This window comes from Homo sapiens, chromosome 18 (assembly GCF_000001405.40).
Source record: "Homo sapiens chromosome 18, GRCh38.p14 Primary Assembly".
Taxonomy (NCBI): domain Eukaryota; kingdom Metazoa; phylum Chordata; class Mammalia; order Primates; family Hominidae; genus Homo; species Homo sapiens.
This window is the reverse complement of record NC_000018.10, coordinates 80034420-80055079: the sequence shown is the minus strand read 5'-3', so window position 1 is coordinate 80055079 and position 20660 is coordinate 80034420. Positions and strand designations below refer to the sequence as shown.

The window sequence follows — 20660 nt, the reverse complement described above, 5'->3', positions numbered from 1 at the left end:
ATCACCCAAATGGTGTACATCGTACCCAATAGGTAACTTCTCATCTCTCATGCCCTTCCTACCCAACCACCTTTTGGAGTCTCCAATGTCTATTATTCCATTCTCTATGTCCATATGTACACATTGTTTAGTTCACACTGGTAAGTGAGAACATGGCTTTCTGTTTCTGCCTCCAGTTACATCCATGTTGCTGCAAAAACCATTTCATTCTTATAGTATTCCATGGTATATGTGTGTGTGTATACATATATCCTAAATTTTTTAGTATTTCTATATAAATCACATTTTATTTATCCAATCATCAGTTGAGGGACACCTAACTTGACCCCATGACTTTGCTATTGTGATAGTGCCGCAATAAACACGAGTGCAACTGTCCTTTTAATATAGTGATTTCTTTTCCTTTGGGTAGTAGTGGGATCGCTGGCTTGAATAGTAATTCTATTTTTAGTTCTTTGAGAACTCTCCATACTGTTTTCCATAGAGGTTGTACTAATTTTACATTCCCATCAACAGATTATAAGCATTCCCTTTTCTCCACATCCTCACCAACATCGGTTGCTTCCTGACTTTTTAATAGTAGCCATTCTGACTGGTATAAGATGGCATATCATTGTGGTATTAATTTGCATTTCTCTATTAATTAGTGAGGTTGAGCCTTATTTTCATATTTTGTTGGCTGCTTGTATGTTGAAAAACTTCTGTTCATGTCATTTGCCCACTATTTAATGAGGTTATTTGTTTTTTACCTTGCTGAGTTCCCTGTAAATTCTGATTAGTCCTTTGTCAGATGCATAGTTTGCAAATATATTCTCCCATTCCACAGGCTGTATGTTTACTCCACTGAGTATTTCTTTTGCTGTGCAAAAGCTTTTTAGAGACCATTTGTCCATTTTTGGTTTTGCTGCATTTGCTTTTGAGGTCTTAGTCATAAATTTTTGCCTAGACCAATGACCAGAAGGATTTTTCCTAGGTTTTCTTCTACGATTTTTATAGTTTGAGGCCTTACGTTTGTCTTTAATACATCTTGAGTTAATTTTTTTACATGGTGAAAGATAGGGTCCAGTTTCATTCTTCTACACATGACTATCCAATTTTTCCAGCATCATTTATTGAATAGAGTGTCCTTTCCCCAGTATATATTTTTGTCAACTTTATCAAAGATCAGTTGGTTGTAGGTATGTGGCTTTATCTGGGTTCTTTATTCTGTTCCATTGATCTGTGTTTCCATTTTTATACCAGTACCATGCTGTTTTGGTTACTATAGCCTTGTAGTATAATTTGAAGTCAGGTAACGTGATGCCTCCTGCTTTGTTCTTTTTGCTTAGGATGTTTTGGCTATTTGGGCTCTTTTATGGTTCCATATGAATTTTAGGATTTTTTTTTCTAATTCTGTGAAAAATGACATTGGTAATTTGATAGGAATTGCACTGTATCTGTAGATTGCTTTAGGCAGTATGGTCATTTTAATGATACTGATTTTTCCAAGCCATGGGCATGAGACATTTTTCCATTTGTTTGTGTCATCTATGATTTCTTTCACCAGTGTTTTGAAGTTCTCCTTGTAAAGGTCTTTCACTTCCTTGGTCAAATGTACTCCTAGGATTTTGTTTGTTTGTAGTTATTGTAAATGGAATTGAGTTCTTGATTTGGTTCTCAGCTTGATCATTATCGGTGTATAGAACTACTACTTATTTTTGTTCATTGATTTTCTATCCTGAAACTTTGCTGAAATAATTTATCAAATCTAGGAGTCCTTTGGAAGAGTCTTCAGGATTTTCTAGATATAAGATCGTATCATCAGCAAACAGATAATTTAACTTTCTCTTTTCCCATTTGGATTTTGTGGGGTTTTTTTTTTGTTTTGTTTTGTTTTTTGAGACAAGGTCTTGCTTTGTCATTCAGGCTGGAGTGCAGTAGCACACTCATGGCTCACTGCAGCCTCAACCTCCTGGGCTCAAGTGACCTTCCCACCTCAGCCACCCGAGTAGTTGGGACTACAGGCACATGCCACCATGCCCGAGTAATTTTTATATTTTTTTGTACAGACAGGGTTTCATCATGTTGCCCAGGTTGGTCTCAAACTCCTGGGCTCAAGCAATCCACCCACCTCAGCCTCCCAATCTGCTGGGATGACAGGCATGAGCCACTGTGCCTGGCTAGATGCCTTTTATTTCTTTTTCTTGCCTGGATGCTCTAACTAGAACTTCCAAAACTATGTTCAATAAGTGGTCAAAATGGGCATCCCTGTCTTGTTCCAGTTCTAGGAAGAATGCTTTCAACTTTTCCCCATTCAGTATGATGTTGGCTATGGGTTTGTTGTATATGGCTTTTATTATTTTGAGGTATGTTTCTTCTGTGTCTAGTTTGTTGAGGGTTATTATTATGAAGGGCAATTCTGCATCATTTCAGATGATCATATGGTTTTTGTTTGTTTGTTGTTTGACAGTCTTGCTCTGTCACCCAGGCTGGAGTGTGGTAGCATGATCTCGGCTCACTGCAACCTCCGCCTCCCGAGTTCAAGCGATTCTGCTGCCTCAGCCTCCCAAGTAGCTGGGATTACAGGCATGCACCACCATGCCTGGCTAATTTTTGTATTTTTAGTAGAGACAGAGTTTCCCCATGTTGGCCAGGCTGGTCTCATACTCCTGACCACAGGTGATCCACCCACCTCAGCCTCCCAGAGTGCTGGGATTACAGGCATGAGCCACACTGTGCCTGGCCATGGTTTTTGTTTTTAATTGTGTATGTGGTGAATCACATTTATTCATTTGTGTATGTTAAACCATCCTTACACCCCTGAAAAAGAAAACTCACTTGATTGTGTGTTATCTTTTTGATGTGCTGTTGGATTTGGTTTGCTAGTATTTCACTCAGGATTTTTGCACCTATGTTCATCAGGGACATTGGCCTGTAGTTGTTGTTTTGGCTGTGTGCCTAGCTTTGGTATCAGGGTGATACTGGCTTTGCAGGCTGAGTTAGGGAGGATTTCCTCCTCCTTGATTTTTTGGAACAGTTTCAGTAGGATTGGTACCGATTCCTCTTTGCATGTCCAGTAGAACTTGGCATGAATCTGTCTGGCCCTGGGCTTTTCTGTTGTTGAGATTCTTTTTATTACTGATTCAAGCTCACCACTCACTATTGGTCTGTTCAGGATTTCTGTTTCTTCCTGGTTCAACCTTAGGAGTCTGTATGTTTCCAGGCATTATCCATTTCCTCTAGGTTTTCTAGTTTGTGAATGTAGAGGTATTCACAGTAGTCTCTGAGGATCTTTTGCATTTCTGTGGTGTTAGTTGTACTGCCTCCATTTTTATTTCTGACTGTGTTTATTTGCATCTTCTGTTTCTTGGTTAATCTAGCTATCAGCCTATCAATTTTGTTTACTTTTTCAAAAAACCAACTTTTCATTTCATTGATCCTTTGTATTTTTCTTTTGGTCTCAACTTCATTTAGTTCTGCCCTCATATTTCTTATTTCTTCTGCTAGCTTTGACTTTGATTTGTTCTTATTTTTCTAGTTCCTTGAGGTGCAATGTTAGGTTGTTAATTTGTGATCTTTTGTATGTTTGAAGTAGGCATTTAATGGTATAAGCTTCCGTTTTAGCACTGCTTTTATCGTATCCCAGAGGTTTTGGTGTCTTGTGTCTCTGTTTTCATTTGTTTCAAAAAGTAAATACTTAAGAGTAAGTTCACAGGGAGAAGCCCAACAGACACCCCTTTCTTCAGCTCATCATTGTGGACATCACCAGGAACATACAACCCAACACTGACAGCACAGCATCACTGCTGTGATGTCCCTGCAAAAAAGCAAGTACTAAATGTGATCATGAGGAAACACCAGACAAGCCCAAACTGAGGAACACTCCACAAAATAACGGCTGCACTCCTCAAAATTAGGGCCACGAAGGCTCAAGGAAGCCCAAGAGCTACTCGAGGGCATGGGATTGAGGGTGACAGGTAAACATAACAAGTGCCTCTGGAACAGGCCCTTTGCCATACAGGACATCCCTAGGGCAAATGGCACACCTCAAAGAGGCCTGAGGATTAACTGACATCAGGGCTGGCTTCCCAGGTGTGCTGCCCATGTGGGCATGGGGACCTCATGCTCGGTTAACATTCTGATGTTACCATCTTTTTTTTGAGACAGGGCCTCACTCTGTCGCCCAGGATGGAGTGCAGTGACTATTCACAGGTGCAATCAATGTGCTTGCAGCCTCAAACTCCCAGACTCCAGTGATCCTCCTGCCTCAGTCTCCTGAGTACTAACAGCACGTGCCACCGCACCTGATGCTACACCAAAATTTAACAGTGGTGTCTCTGGTAGCTGAGACTACATGGGGCTTTTGTTTCCTCTATTCTATTGGTATCTGTTTTAACATTTTTCAACAAAGAATATATATTCCTTCTGTAAAAAGAAAGTATGAAATTATTTTTAGAAATACAGAATTAATTTATTTCAGTATCTTGCCAGCACCCACAGCATTTATGATCTTTGAGGCCACAGTAGAGCAGCAGCACAGAAGGGTGACTATAGTCAATAACAATTTAATTGCATATTTAAAAATAACTAAAACAATATAATCGGATTGTTTGTGGCACAAAGGATAAATGCTTGAGGGGATGGGTGCCCCAGTCTCCATGATGTGCTTTTTCACATTGCATGTCTGTATCAAAACATCTCATGTACCCCACAAATATATACACCTACTCTGTGCCCATGATAATTAAAAATAAAAATAAAAAATTTTTAATCAGGAAACACTGATCATGACCTGTCCTCCCCAGTTCCCTCCCTTCCTGTGTCACAAACCAGGAACCAAAAGGTCTCTGCTCCCCTTACCCTGGCCTGGGTGGCACAGGCCTGTCCTTCCTCTAGCTCTGTCCCTTCTCCCTGCCCTGTTGTCCCCTCATTCTTCCCCCAAAATACACTCAAGCCCTCTCTCCTTCAAGGCAGCTGGCAAATTTTCAAAGTACCTCAAGTTTCTGATGTAAAACCAGGTTTTCCTTCTGGACAAAAGGAGTGGGGAAGAAAACTGTACTTCTATTCCTAAGAGAGGGTCTCAGGCCCTTAGAGAGGAAAAGATTCTGTACTAAAGATAATACTGGAAAAAAATCAACCCAGGGCAGTCACCCGTAGAGCAGAGGTTCTAATGCTGGCCTCATACTCAGACCACCAAGGTGGCTCTGGCCCGTCTCCAGGCCCAGGTGTCTTCAAACAGCAGGTGTTTCAGATGCACAGCCAAGGCTGAGAGGCATTGTGCTGGATGTTGGGTCCAGTCTTCTGGGGGCCTACAAGGGGTGATTAAGTTCCCCTGTCTACCTCAAAATGTTCTAATGTTTGTAGAGTTGCTTACTGGGCCATCTGCATTACCAAGGAACAGCGAACCAGAAGGCTGAAGTGGCCGACAGTCTGGTTTTATGAGCCCCCAGGGGATGTGCCCGGAACTTTGAGAACCATTGACCTTTACTAACAAGGTAAGGGACAGTGACACAGGAGAGCTTATCAGACTGAAAACCTGTGAAGTCGTTTCACATTTCATCAGCAGTTTAACAGTGACAGGTACTTGTAAAAAGCTCACAAGGTTGATCTGAGGACTTCACTGGATCAGTGCCTCCCTAACTTCTGGGTGTTTAGTGTGCGTGCACGTCATCTGGAGAGCTGCGGAAAATCCCCAGGAGTGGATCATCCAGGGAAGGCCATGGAAATCCCCGGGAGTGGACCCATTCAGAAGGGCGTGAGCTTCCATGTCCCTAACCTGCTCCCAGGAAAGGCCGTGGAAATCCCCAGGAGTGGACCCATTCAGAAGAGGGTGAGCTTCCATGTCCCTAACCCGCTCCCAGGGAAGGCCGCGGAAATCCCCAGGAGTGGACCCATTCAGAAGGGGGTGAGCTTCCGTGTCCCTAACCCGCTCCCAGGGAAGGCCGCGGAAATCCCCAGGAGTGGACCCATTCAGAAGCGGGTGAGCTTCCGTGTCCCTAACTCGCTCCCAGGGAAGGCCACGCCAGAAACAGGGAGGCCTAAGCCAGTTTTCTCTGAAACGTGCCCACACTCCTCTTTCTAGGAGGCACTGAGCTGATGCCTGGTGGGATCCCCTACAAACGTGCCCACACTCCACTTTCTAGGAGGCACTGAGCAGACGCCTGGTTGGATCCCCTGCAAACGTGCCCACACTCCACTTTCTAGGAGGCACTGAGCCGACGCCTGGTTGGATCCCCTGCAAACATGCCCACACTCCACTTTCTAGGAGGCACTGAGCTGACGCCTGGTTGGATCCCCTGCAAACGTGCCCACACTCCTCTTTCTAGGAGGCACTGAGCCGGCGCCTGGTTGGATCTCCTGCAGCACTTCACCTCTCCCTGGGCCTCAGATTCCTTATTTGGAAAATGAGAACAACTTTGCGAGACTGCTATGGATGCCAACACCACATCCGGCACAGGCGTGGAGGTCTGGGCAGCAGCCTGGGGCTCTCTGGGCCTAACTCTACCTTCCATTCCCTCTGCCCACTCCTTCTTGTCCCTTCTGGTCTCTGTCCTCATGGCTCTAGACACTAGTCCCTGTCAGATGTGCTAGAAGGACCTGAGACAAATTGATGGCAGCAATCTGTTTTGTAACAATAAATTGCTAGAACAATAAAACACAGCCTGGGCACATCAGATGCATGCAAAGGTGTGTATGCAAAGGACACACCATTGAGGGCGTTCTCTCCTTCTTTAACACCTTTCCCAAGTTAGGGGGCGGGGGGCAGGTTAACACAAAGCACTCAGAGCAGTGCCTGACCTGCGAAGCACTCCTGCATGGCAGACTCTGTCTTTACTCTGCTGTGGCCCCCTCCAGCGCTGGTGCAAGCACTGGCCCTGTTCCCAGCCCGGCAGTGCTGTGGAGGTACCTGCAAAGCTGGCGTTCTGCTGTTTTCTCATGGAGTCATCATGGTCAAGTACCAGAGCCTTGTAACCTGAAGTTATCTTGCTAGGGAAATACAAAAACGTTTTTTAGGATGTTGCGCTCGTAAATCATCACCATTCATTTCCTACATCAGGATGGGGAGGTCTCTTGTACATAAATGAATTCACATAGCCATGTTCCAGTAACACCAGATACAAAAGGCCTTGGCCTGACCTCAGCCCATGATGGTCCCCTAGAAGAATAAGAGGCAAACTGGTTGTTGTAAGCCAGGGAGATTTGCCATTTGTCACTGCAGTATCACCTCATTATCCTGACCTATATGATTAACCACAGACATGTACACCCCTTCACTGGACACCCCGCAACTGGCTACCAGAAACCCTAGAGATAAACATTTGGCTCACGGTGTAACAGAGGCATCAGCCTTTATGTGTGGTGTACACTTTGTAACCTAATTTCTGGCTCCCTTTTTTTTTTCTCTCTCCTACTCATACCATCATGTGGGGTTTTGTCTATCCTTACAAATTGCCTTAAATTCTTTCTTCTTAGTTTAACTGGCCTGAGGTAGTGGCCTCCCCATCCTGATATAGGAAATAAGAGTGTAGAGTATAAACAAATAATTTCCTAGATCTCAAAAGAAAAATCTTGCTTCTGCCATTTGATGACTTATACACAGCTTAGTCCCAGAGCACAAATGAAAAGAAAAACAAGGGAGTCAGCATCTTGCAGCAGCATCTCCTACTGTCCTTACCCCACACAGTGCACATGCAGCTTTCTGGGTAGTGGCCTCATCACTCGCCCACAGCCGCTGTCTGCAGCACGTGGCCTGGATCCAGTGGTCAGCACGGCAGGCCGCTCAGTGCTACGGGTCTGCTATCCCTTGGACACTTCTCCTTTTTGGGGAGGAGGTGGCAGGGCACAGCAACTAAAGCCACTGCTGCTTCCACAGATTCTACTCCTGCACCGTGGGCACCTGTCATGTGCAAATGCTGGGACAGATGCCTTCCCTGTGCCGTCTTGATTCTCACAGCCCTGCTGCACTGGCAGAGAGCCAGGGCTTGGAGGGATGACACTGACTCGTAGTGCAGAACCTGACAGAATTGAGAGAATTCTGAATTTAGAACCTGACAGCTCACAGGGGCTGGGACATTAAGAGGGAAGCCGAACTAAATAGGAGCTGACAAGGTATGGAATCTGTGTTTTCTCTTCTGATAAACAGCAAAACGAATCTTTGCGTCGGAGGTGACACAAAGAATTCAGTATGACTCAGAGTCGCACACTCTTCAGAAGGCAAAGACCAAGTCTGTTTCACCTTTGGATGGATTAGAAAATACACTAGCTGGCCACGGGCACCAAGGGAAAAGTGTTACTACTTCAGGCGTGATGGAACCACGGTCAGAGCCGGGGTCGCCCAGGAAGCCCCAGCAAACCCAACTCACTTTCTGCCCAACCTTGGCCTGAACCAGAAGGTGGAGCCTGCTGCACAAAGCTGTGAAGAGGCCAGTCAGGGACGGAGCCCCCGGCGCCACGTGCCGACCCAGCAGCCCCAGGGATGGAGCCCCCGGCGCCACGTGCCAGCCCAGCAGCCCCAGGGACGGAGCCCAGCTCCAGGGGGTTGGGAGGCTCTGGGGACCCTCTGTTCTCCCCAGGTTTGCAGGTTCAGTTCTTACCCCGGCCACTGCTGTGGCCTGACCCCTCGGGCCAAGCACTCACTGGCACCTGGCAGGGCTCTGCAGGTGGAGGTGGCCATGCCAGCATCTCAGAGACACTATTTTACCATTTTCTTTTTGTGAGAATCTGTGATAAGATGGCCATTTAATTTTTAAATTACACACAGTGCATGGAAAAAAAAACAGTGACTTGTGTAGCAAATTGTGTTTAGATACACGGAAAAGCTAGAAAATGTTGAAGTAGCAGAAGAGCAGATGGTTTAACTCCATCAACTGCCTCAATGAAGCCACATGCTGCGTTGCGTGCCAATGCTTTTCCCTGCAAATGTGGGATGGGCAGAGCCTCTCCATCTACTCCCTGCTTGCTCCGCAGCTGTGGCCATCCTCTGTTCTGCCACCTCCTCTCTCTGCCTCCAACTCCTCTGTGTCCGGGGCATAGCATTCGTACTCCGGGGCACCAACCAGGTCCAGGTCATCTTCAACCTCCTCGCCTGACAGGTAACTCTTGAGGGAGCTGTCCTGCTCCAGGCGGGGCTTGGCCCTCTTCCTTCCCTTTTTCATCTGCGTTGTCAGCTCAGCCACCTGCCCCTGCCACACCAGGCCCCCGAGCCCTTTATCTTTCCTCCTTTTGTACTCCATAATCTGCTTGTTGAGCGCCTCATGATCGATCCCACACAGACTGGAGCTTGTGGTCGGCTCTGTGGTGCCGCAGGGTTGTGGGGCATCAGGGTCCCTGGGAAGGAAGAAGAGGCTTCACACCAAGCACAAACCATGCCCCTAGTCCACAGTGTCGTCGCCACAACACAACAGCACATCACACTTCCTACATCTACTCGCCTGAGAACCCTCCCAAACGTCTATCTGAGGGTAACTGGAGACAGGAGTGAAGGAAGGTGGGCTTTGGTTTCCGCCTTCTCCAGTGTCAGAAGCATTCGGCCAGCACAGTCCAGGTGCACCGTCCTGTATGCAATAAATGCATTTGCGCCGGGCACGGTGGCTCACATCTGTAATCCCAGCACTGTGCGAGGCTGAGGCGGGCGGATCACGAGGTCAGGAGTGCAAGACCAGCCTGGCCAACATGGTGAAACCCTGTCTCTACTAAAAATACAAAAATTAGCTGGGCGTGGTGGCGCTCGCCTGTAATCCCAGCTACGCAGGAGGCTGAGGCAGGAGGATCGCCTGAACCCAAGAGGCAGACATTGCAGTGAGCCAAGATCACGCCGCTGCACTCTAACCTGGGCGACAGAGTGAGACTCTGCCTCAAAAAAAAAAAAAAAAGCGTTTGCAACTTTTTTCTCTAAGCATGGCCAGTGCCTCGGGCCAGTTCAACTGGCAGAATCGCAGGTGAGGCCTATCAGACCTGCCACTCATTCGCCTTCATGAAGAGTCTATTCTTGGTGAACAGCACCTAGTCAAGGCCACGTCACAGCCCCTGTATCCTCCAAGGCTCCACTTTGGAAAGTTTCCACACCCTGGGCTCAGCTCCCTGCCCTGCCGCCCCCACACTGCCCCTTGCTGACACGGTCAGGCCAGGCCTGCTACAGCGTGGAGCTTTGCTTCCAGCTCAGGGATGCACCTGGCAGGCTGGTTAAACCCGACTCTGGCAGGTGCCAGGCGATGTTGACGCTGCTGTCTAAGGCCCCCAGGCAAGGCCTGCTCTAGCAGCTGTGGGCTTGGAATGGGGCCCCCCACAAACACCCCAAGACCTGCAGGCTCTGTCAGGCACTACATGTTTGGAAAAGATGTGTATGTGTGTGTACATGCACAGGCCAAACTTCCACGCCCCCGACCTGCTCTCCCAAGCCCCACCTCCCTCTACTCCCCTCCTAACACCCATCTGTGATGTTTACTGCTTCCTGTCGGCCTCCCCTAATGAAACGCAGGTTCCAAAGACAGCTGCATCCTAAGTGCTTGACCAGGGCTTGGCACACAGTGGGCACTCAATAAACAATGTGTTGAATGAACGAAGAGGACAAGAGGCCCTCTCCTCACTGCAGGAGTTATGGCAGGCACCTCTGGTGGCCCCTGAGGCCCTCACTGTGTAAACGTGGCCAGGCCACAGCACAGGCCTGTGAATGTGGATTGCCGGCCCTGGAGGCAAGTGCCATGGGGATCATGCAGGCTACTCGGGATGTGGCGCTGGGCAGCTGCTCTGGAAAATGGTGATTCCACACCCAGGAATGTACCCCAGGGAATCAAAACATATGTCCACATGCGTCACCTGAAATCATTTTGTACAAAGTTGTCTCTTTCATCCCGGGGTCCAAAGTCTGCGACTGCCAGTAACTGATCAAGCTACAGAGGAACACAGAGGGTAAACCCGTTAGCCACATCCCCACCACCATACTTACAGCCGGGCTCCACGTAACACCAGCATTGTTGACTGCAGAGCTTTTGATCAGACTTTGCACAATTCCTTCCACCGACTCTTCCCAAATACTAGGACCTGTTCAGTAGCCTGTGCTTTCAAATACCTTACTGTTACTTTAACATAACACATTTTCTCTGATAACGAAGTGAGGCTTTTTAAAAACTACATTTTAGACTTGTTAGTCAAATTTATGAAGAAACCAGTTAAGCGTTAGTTGAATTAACTAACTAACCATTAACTGGTTTCTAAGGTAGTTTTGCAAAATGCTTCAGTTTTGCCACAGAATTTGTGTGCCTTGGGGGACAAAAGCCTCCCAACAAGACAAGGTAAAAGATGATGCGGACAGTCACAATGCTGGGAGCCTAAACTACAAAAGAAAACTGCTCCTCAGCCAGGCTCATGGGATGCCACCCACACCATGGCAATGGCCCACAAGCCCTGCTGGACAATGCATTCCACCCGAACCCTGCCTGCCTATCCCCTGCCTCCGGGGGTGTCCTCATCCTGCTCCAAGCATAGCATGCACTCTCCCCTGTCCAGTGACTGTTCTGGAACCCACACCACCTGATGGGACCTCCCTCCCCAGAGACAGGAGCCTGGAGTGCTGAGCTCAGACAGAGAGACTGGCACGTCCTCCCCAGGGAACACCTTGCTCATGCCCTCACAGCACACTGCCATGACCTGAACTGTCCCTGATTCCTTACGGCAGGGACTATAACTTCACTCCTTCGTTTCTTTTTCTAGCAAGGGAAATCACGAATCTGTCAAGCTTATTACTTGTACAATGTTTTTAGTGTTACCTACACACTGATTAACGAAAACCAAAAATGTCAAACTGGATCTTTTTCTTCTGTGGATCCAAATGCTGTCTGGTCCTATACTGAACAACAGTTACCTATAATACTGCAAACGCTATTCGCTGATTTTTGACTGACTTTTTGAAGGTATAACATATCTTAATAACTGCCAGGTAACCACCACCCAGAGAAGTATATATTTACATGTTTTTAATCTTTATAGCTAACCCATCTCTAAAGCAAGGAAAATGATAATAAAAGCACTTAAGGTTACAGGACAGACCTAAGTCTCATAAGCCCCAATAATGTGAAACGAAAGTGGACTGATCCATTTCGAGAGGTGGGAGGGGGAGACAGGCGTGGGAGGGCAACTCTGGCCGTGTTGAGTTCATACCCTAGTTAGAGCTACAGTGATAAGCATAAAAAAATTAAAACCAGAAACAGCAACTACTTCTGGGGACCTGGCTGGGAACAGGGGCACAGGAGAAAGGGACAGCCTTTTCATTTGCACCTTTCTTTCATTACTTTTCATTTGTTCCCTTCTCAGTGGTTTCTTCTCTTTTTTTTTTTTGACACGGAGTCTCTCACTCTGCTGCCTGGAGTGCAGTGGCACAATCTCGGCTCACTGCAACCTCCGCCTTCCCGGTTCAACTGATTCTTCTGCCTCAGCCTCCCGAGCAGCTGAGACTACGGGCGCACGCCACCACACCTAGCTAATTTTTTTGTATTTTTAGTAGAGACAGGGTTTCACCGTATTGGCCAGGCTAGTCTCTAACTCCTGACCTTGTGATCCACCTGCCTCGGCCTCCCAAAGTGCTGGGATTACAGGCTTGAGCCACTGCACCTGGCCTCTTCTCTTTTTTAACTGTACATTATCTTTTCAGGATTTAAAACTTAAATTTAAAACTTTATTCATATAAGCGTTTATGTTATAAAAAGTTAATTATTACCTGGGCCCGGTGGCTCACACCTATAAATCCCAGCACTTTGGGAGGCTGAGACAGAAGGATCCCTTGAGGCCAGGAGTTCAAGACTAGCCTGGACAATATAGCAAGACTCTGTCTCTAATTAAAAAAATAAAAATTTTTAAATTTTAAAAAGTTTTTTTGAAAACCTTACCTCAGCTAGAGCTGCATTTCCCTTGTCTTGAACAAACACTATCGGTGGCACATTCCTCAGGGTCTGCTGGGACATCAAAAGGTGCCTAGGAGACAGAACGCACAGACCCTCACAGCTGTGCCGTGACACTCAGTGGAGAGGCGTGACAGTGCTGAACATATGATTCAAGATGTAACCAAGAGGCAGGAGTGAGAGGCCGGGCGCGGTGGCTCACGCCTGTAATCCCAGCACTTTGGGAGGCCGAGGCGGGCGGATCACGAGGTCAGGAGATCGAGACCATCCTGGCTAACATGGTGAAACCCCGTCTCTACTAAAAATACAAAAAATTAGCCAGGCGTGGCGGCAGGCACCTGTAGTCCCAGCTACTCGGGAGGCTGAGGCAGAAGAATGGCCTGAACCCGGGAGGCGGAACTTGCAGTGAGCCAAGATAGTGCCACTACACTCCGGCCTGGGTGAAAGAACAAGACTCGGTCTCAAAAAAAAAGAAAAAAAAAAAAAAGAGGCAGGAGTGAGATTTATCGTATTACTCAAAAATGAAAACCTCAGCCCAGAAGAGTCATCTTTAGTCAACTACCACATCAAAAAAGGGATGCAAAATGCATCATAACTGCAATTGCCTTGACTTTTCTCAACGCAACTTGTGCGATCTGTACAAATAACCTGATCTGAACTCATCGCCGTAGCCTTGGGCTCCAGGGTCTGTGCACTAACAGCCTGTCCTCCTGTGCCCAGTGGACACGCCCTGGCACGACACAACCCTCAGGTTCCCAGATATTAGACACAGAAGTGATATTTGTATCATGCACATCACATAATACAGACCTAGGGCCAATGTAGGCACGGCACATATAACCAGCGAAAGCCGTGACCACAGATCTTTGGTACACAGCTATGGAAAACGGTGACCCTAAATCTTGGGTGACCGCAGGAGTTGGGAAGAGGGACATTCAGCTCAACTGAATTTTCTGATACCTAAAAATCAGAAAACAATGCTGTTTCAACACTTGTCAATAATCTCTCATTTTCTTGCTTTTGTTAAACAGTAAGAAATAAGCATTCTCTGATATGCAGTTTCACAGACCCCTGGGCATCATCGTGTGTGGTAATGATGCAGGGAAGCCAGGCAGGGTGCCTGGAACGAAGCCCACACACGGCCACCTTTTCTACGTCTGTCCCCACCCTAAACATGGGGCATGATGAGAAGGGAGGCAGAAAGGAGGAATTCCAGTTCTGAGAGAGCTGGACAGTGAGCTGGATTTGGATTTCTGCATTTTTTAAAACTGAGGAGGAAACTGAATAATTTCTTTATTATCATCCAGCTCAGCAATTCCCAAAATTGTTGGTCCCAGGATCCTTTACATTCTTAAAAATTACTGAAGATCCCAAAGAGCATTTGTTTATGTGGGTTCTATCTATCAATATTTACTATACTACAAACTAAAACTGAGAACTCTAAAAGCTACGTCTTTTTAAAGTCGCTTAAAAACCCACTAAATGCTTACATAGACATTTTTAACAAAAAATATATATATACACTCCCCCCCACAAAATCAATGAAAAGCATGGAATTGTTTATGTATTTGCAAATTCTCCAAGGCCAGCTTCATGGAAGACAGCTGGGATCTCACTGCTGCTTCTGCACTCTGTCCTTCCTCTCACTGAAATACAAGAAGAGCCAGCGCAGTAGCTCATGCCTGTAATCTCAACACTTTGGGAGGCTCAGGCCAGAGGATCGCTTAAGCCCAGGAGTTGGAGACCAGCCTAGACAACATAGAGAGATCCTATCTCTACAAAAAATACAAAATTAGCCAAGTGTGGTGGCATGCACCTGTGCTTCCAGCTGTATGGGAAGCTGAGGCAGGAAGATCACTTGAGCCTGGGAGGTTGAGGCTGCAGGAGCCAAGATTGTGTCTCTGCACTCCAGCCTGGGAGACAGAATGAGATCCTGTCTCAAAAAAAGCAAAAAAAAAAAAAAAAAAATTCAGGCCTCCCAGTTATGTGTTGGAAAAGACAGAATTTAACAGCCATGAGAAAAGTATGGATCTTCTTTGTCACAAAAATTCAACAAATGTACTTTATTAAAGGTCAGTTGTCCCGGCCTGGCCAATATAGTGAAACCTCATCTCTACTAAAAATACAAAAATTAGCTGGGCATGGTGGCGGGCGTCTGTAACCCCAGCTACTCAGGAGGCTGAGGCATGAGAATCACTTGAACCCGGGAGGCAGAGGTTGCAGTGAGCCAGTATCACTCCACTGCCCTCCAGCCTGGGCGACAGAGCAAGACTCCATCTCAAATAAATAAACATATAAATAGTTGCAATGAGGAATCTGAAACCACACCCAACCAACCTGTCACACTCTGCTACATTAAAACTCACCATCTGGCTCACACTTTGAATTGATCTCTCAGCGTATGGTTTTGTAACCTCATGCACTGGTCATTTGGAAAACAACAGCTCACCTAGTTATGCAGATTTTAAAAGCATTGACACAGTTTATCATACAACAGCACGTTTGTTAAGGTCGCTGCCAATCTCATCAGAAGAGTCTCAAGTACCTAGAAGTTGTCAAGCTCACAGTGGTGAATACAAGTTTCCTAAAATTCTGATTTTCACTTGAAAGCTTAAATTTTATCACTGGCAACAGATATGGTCTGTTGTTTGCTCCGGAGTGGTAGGTTCACTCGCTTATTTTTGAAAGAATGTCTGCCAAACACCCAAACCTAAACAGTCTGCTCACTGATGCTTTTCTGTTCAGCATTCTCCAGACAGCAGGTGATTTACATGTACTTCCCATTACAAAAAATATGAAAAAGGCATGCTCAAGGGTCAAGATTTAATACAATTAATAATTTTTGATAAACTGTCTCGGATTTTTTAATTTTTCTTTGAGAAACAGGGTCTTGCTCCGTTGCCCAGGCTGGAATGCAGGTACATTAACACGGCTCACTGCCACCTCAAATTCCTGGGCTGATAGGAATCCAGGGGATACCTCCCACCTCAGCCTCCTGAGTAGGTGGGACTATATGCGTGTGCTGCCACTGTGCCTGGTTAATTTTTTAATTTTTTGTAGAGACAGGGTCTCGCCATCTTGCCCAGACTGGTCCTGAACTCCTGGCCTCAAGTGATCCTCCCGCCTCGGCATCCCGAGTTGCGGGGATTACAGGTGAGAGGCACCATGTCCAGCCTCATCTGGGATATTCTTAAGTAAAAGTAACATTGTCTTTTACTCTAGGCATGTGGCATGGCGCCCCTACAGCACTGGCTGGCAGCATGGCACCAGCAGTCTTCCCTCATGGTTTCTGTACCCTCAGTGCAAATGTCAACACAGCAGGAGAGGTGAAATAACGTCTTACCCTAATGAACTCCCTGACAGGATCTCCAGATCCCTAGTGATCCTGGCACACTTTAATAAATGCTAACCTACATTATAGCTTATACAAAAATGCAAATTATACTATGAACTTCAAGAAAATGCCTCCAAAATTTTCTTTAAAAGCAAAAATACTCAATGAAAAGTTCAAGTCCACCTACAAGTGAAACAGCTGAGAAATTTAGGGTATGAGCAAAAAGCAAGTACATTCAGAAAGCAAAGGTCATCACCTCATGTGCGCGGCACTTCTCTGCAGGACAGCCTCCATGTGTGCGTTCTGCTCAGCAGAGAGCGTTGTCTTCCAGTACGCTCGGCAGGCTGAGAAGTCTGGAGTCAGGGAAACCTGAGACCCCGCCCCTCCACAGGTCACTTTTTAGCTTACATGGGTTTTCAAGACAAACAACATCCAGGAGATGAAAACGACAGCTGCAGACGCCCCTCCCACCCAAGCCAGGGCTCTGGCATGCTGCTGGAGGCCACCTCCTGCTGCCGCACCATGTCCCCAGGTGAAGTAGGGCCCCAGAAACCAAAACCTCCCTCCTCTCTTCACCAGGACCCGCAAACCAAACCACCTGGTTTGCAGAACCAAACCGGAACCCTGACCCCACGCTTGCCTCACAGCCACTTGCCCTGAGACACTAATCAAAAATGCTCGATGCTGCCTTTTCTCCTTACAACTCACTGAGTGGGTCAGAGGAAGTCATCTCCTGTACCTCTGTACTGAGGTACATGCAGATGCATCCTCTTCCCACGGCAGGCTTAGACCTTCTACTATCTGACAATGTGCCAGGTGCTGTTTGGTCACAGGACTCCCGCCTTGCAGTGAGACATCTGCCTCTGCACAGCACAGACACTCACCATCTGTCTCCAGGGCTCCAATGACCAGACTGAGCATCATTTCTATTTCTGCAACCCAGAACTAAGACTTCATAAGTGCTAAAGTGGCTTTTTTTTTTTTTGAGATGGAGTCTCGCTCTGTCACCCAGGGTGGAGTGCAGAGGCGCGGCCTCAGCTCACTGCAACCTCCGCCTCCTGGGTTCAAGCGATTCTCCTGCCTCAGCCGCCCGAGTAGCTGGGACTACAGGCGCCCGCCACCATGCCCGGCTAAGTTTTTGTATTTTTAGTGGAGATGGGATTTCACTGTGTTAGCCAGGATCGTCTCAATCTCCTGGCCTCGTGATCCGCCCGCCTCAGCCTCCCAAAGTGCTAGGATTACAGGCGTGAGCCACCGCGCCCAGTCTAAAGCGTCTTTTTTTAATTGTCAGGCAAGACTGGGCCAGGTAAAGTAAGTGCCAGGCCTGCTGTCTCAACCCATTTCTTCTCTTTGGCCACACAGCCTACCTTGGAGAGCTCCACGTTAAGGTCATACAGCTCCTGACTCACTTCAGGGGTACACAGCAGGTCTGTCAGTGCCTTATAGAGGAGGCCGTTCAGGGCCCTCAGGCGCGCATGGTCTTCCTTCCTGGTTTTCTTTGAGGTGCTCCTCATGAGGAATTCCAACTTGGATGGTTTGTAAGTCTCCATCAGGAAGAAGAGCACACCCCAAGGGCAGCGTTACAACTCCAAACTCACCAAGTCACACAGCAGGGGCTGGGGGAGGGCTGGATGGGCAACCAGATCAACAGCAGCTATCACTCTCAGCTGCCTCAGCTTTCATTAAGATAAAGTTTTATAAACCGGGATCCTTTTAAATTTTACCTGGTAACCCTCCAAGATTAAAAGTACTGCCAGTAAATATTTTCTCAAAAAAAGTTTTTGTTGAGATATAATTCACATACCATAAAGTTCACCGTGCTAAAGGGAATAATTCAGTAATTTTTTGGAAACGTGATGTATTTATTTTTCAGAATGGGAGCCATATATTGTATAAACTTTTACAGTACACACACACTAAAAACTGAATGGATATTACCATATTATAATTTGATAAAAGATATGACTTTCCAGAAAACATTAATGTCAGTACATTTTTTTTTGAAAAGATCAAAACTCCATGTTGCCAATGGCATCCAGTCGCATCCACATAGACACTATCCCCTCCAATACAGAAATGGAAAGACCTCCAGGTAAGAGTTTTGCCAACTTTTAAACCCTCACTCCCATCAAGATTATAAAGTGGCTCATGGCTTATACTCACCGAGTGAGAACCCAAGGAAGGACTTTCATACCAAACCTTTTTTCTTTGGGGAGAAAATAAGCATTATGTTAGTGATGGCAAAGTCAAAAAGTTACATAAGCTAATTTAAGAGGTTATGATACCATAACTGTTTATAGGGGGCTAAACTTAGATGTTACATTACTGGACATCTTAAAAAATTTCAGAATTTAATTGATAACAACATGGGTTGTGGGGAAGAGGCTGAAGATGGTTTTAATTCAACCTCATAATTTTTACCTAAATTCTACTTCTAGTCCCAAGGTTAGAGAGAGGATCTTAAAAAGACACCTACCAAACTGCACATAAACACTATACGCTAATTGATAAAGATGTTTCCCATGGAAGTTCAAGTAAAGGATTCAGATACTGTTATAGGCATAGACTGAGACTGAACAATTAAGCAAATGGATGGTGGGAGCCACGCTCACCATTGGAGTGCGACTTACAGATCAGCAAGGAGAGGAGGCTAGAATGATCCACACAGTACGTCTGGAGTTGGAGACAGATGGCTATACACGGAAATGTTTATAGGTGCATATTTACACAAGGGTTAGTAGAAACACATATATCCTTTCGTCAGATGAGATGGCCCAAAAGACAGACACCCCAGAAGCAATGAACACACCCAGCACCCATGGTTTCTAATCTCTCTCTCCAATAAAAGGAACGAGGGCTTCTTGGAGAAATGGCTGATTTTAGGGCTGTGGTACGAAACACACAAGATGAGCCTGGAGTATCTTGTAGTGCCAGAAAGTAGGAAAGTGTTTAACACACACAGAACCCAGCAAAACCCCACAATGACAGGGTATGCAAACAGGACATAGGAGCTTAGTGAGCTCCTAAGGGCCTGAGCTGGAAACATTCGAACAAAACTAAGTAACACGGGATTATAACCCATGAGTTCTTGGTGATATGAATGAATTAATACATGGGGTGAAGAGACATATCCCTTGTGCAGAATGCAAACCACTTATGAGCAAAATTCCCCACTCATTAGGCATGGGCTGCACACAGCGACTTTCTCCCAGAGTACAGTAAGGAAAGGGGGCAAAAAGAGTAACTTTACGGTAGAGAAACCTGGCAAGCACCTCATGCAGGGGATCACGGCCAGCGTGGACCCTGGATACGGTGCGATGAGAATGGCCTTTACCTCTGTAGTCTTCCTCCCCAAAAGCCATAATCCACGTCTAAGCATTAAAAAAACAGGCACATTCCAACAGAGAGGCATCCTGCAAAGCACCTGACCAGTACCCCTCAAAACTGGCACAGCCATCAAAACCAGGGACAGTCTGGGACACTACCCCAGCCTAAGGAAACAAGACAATTCAATGTAACGTGGACCTTGGGTGGGCACCTGGGACAGGAAGGGACAGCAGGCAGAACCAAGGAAAAGTGAATAAAGTATGAGCTTCAGTTAGCAACACTCTTATCAATATCGGCTCATTAACTGGAACACGTTGGAAGCTAAAGTCCGACGCTAACACAGGGGGAGCTGGGTGCCAGGACACAGGAACGCGGTACTATTTTTGCAATTTTTCTGCAGGGTCTAAAACTGTCTTTAAAAGTAGTGTATTAAAGTAGAAAACATACAACCACCTACCATACTTAGAAGAACTAAAAGCAGTGTGAAAAGTCAATGTATTTTATTGTACTTATCTTTCATAATTTAAAAACACTAATTATCATGACAAGCTTTAGTCTTCAAATTCACACAGAAAGTCAACATTAGCAAGGAAATTCTTATATTTTTTCATTTTTCCTCATTTTCTGAAACTAATCTTCTGAAAAATACGTCTGGTGACAAGAATCAAAATAAACACACATTGTCACTTTGTTTTCTTAACCCGACACACGTCCACGAACACAAAAGCTGCAAATGCTGACAGTGAGAGCTAGAACTGCTGCAGACCCCAGGAGGCAGGAACTGGCGAGCTAGGCCGCATGGGCGCAAGAACGCGGATGAGCGGACACCGCAACCCGGGGACACCGCCCCCTAGGGAATACCGCGCCCAGGGACACCGCCCCCGCCGCATTACTTGGTTTTCGAGGCAAATTTCTTGAGCCAGTTCTTGCAGGAGACAGCAGAGCAGTGAAGTCCCCGCTCGCAGCCTGGAAATAGCGCAGCATCGCGGCTACGGAACAGGGCCCGGAGACCCGCGCGGGAGCGCCACAGCCCGCCCGCCGCAGCCCACATGGCGCGGCGCCGGGACCCGGAGCGAGCAGGGAGACAACGGGCGCAGGCGCGGAGCGACAACTGACGCGAGGGTGGC

At 46.6% G+C, this 20660-nt stretch overlaps 1 protein-coding gene across 2 annotated transcripts, besides 2 other annotated features; it reads right to left on the bottom strand.

Moving 5' to 3' along the window:
• Nucleotides 1-4428: 4428 nt before the first annotated feature.
• On the bottom strand, nt 4429-20646 carry RBFA (ribosome binding factor A). Of its 2 annotated transcripts, NM_024805.3 has the most exons (7): nt 20427-20646; nt 18370-18412; nt 17574-17750; nt 16463-16575; nt 12861-12945; nt 10795-10868; nt 4429-9306 (listed from the first exon to the last, which is right to left on the bottom strand). In NM_024805.3, exons 1-7 carry the CDS (start codon nt 20582-20584, stop codon nt 8925-8927), a joined length of 1032 nt encoding a protein of 343 aa, NP_079081.2. In that variant the 5' UTR covers nt 20585-20646; the 3' UTR covers nt 4429-8924. The 2 variants fall into 2 exon arrangements, with proteins under 2 accessions (NP_079081.2, NP_001165438.1); NM_001171967.2 differs by lacking the exon at nt 12861-12945.
• Nucleotides 5343-6542: an enhancer, noted in NCBI's record as "BRD4-independent group 4 enhancer chr18:77808538-77809737 (GRCh37/hg19 assembly coordinates)". NCBI's record gives its function as "activates an origin of replication core promoter dependent on BRD2, P300/CBP, MED14 and CDK7 cofactors, and independent of BRD4, by STARR-seq in HCT116 cells {active_cell/tissue: HCT116}" and the evidence as "EXISTENCE:reporter gene assay evidence [ECO:0000049][PMID:35650434]".
• Nucleotides 20451-20600: a silencer, noted in NCBI's record as "silent region_9590". NCBI's record gives its function as "represses an Ori minimal core promoter by ATAC-STARR-seq in GM12878 lymphoblastoid cells {active_cell/tissue: GM12878}" and the evidence as "EXISTENCE:reporter gene assay evidence [ECO:0000049][PMID:35858748]".

Excerpts from the sequence above, each read along its gene's own strand:
- RBFA (NM_024805.3), bottom strand. The coding sequence starts at position 20,584 with ATGTGGGCTGCGGCGGGCGGGCTGTGGCGCTCCCGCGCGGGTCTCCGG. Across the intron at positions 16,576-17,573 it reads TTAACGTGGAGCTCTCCAAG|GTTTCCCTGACTCCAGACTT; the intron begins GTAGGCTGTGTG and ends GCGGGGTCTCAG. Across the intron at positions 9,307-10,794 it reads TTTGTACAAAATGATTTCAG|GGACCCTGATGCCCCACAAC; the intron begins GTGACGCATGTG and ends CTTCCTTCCCAG.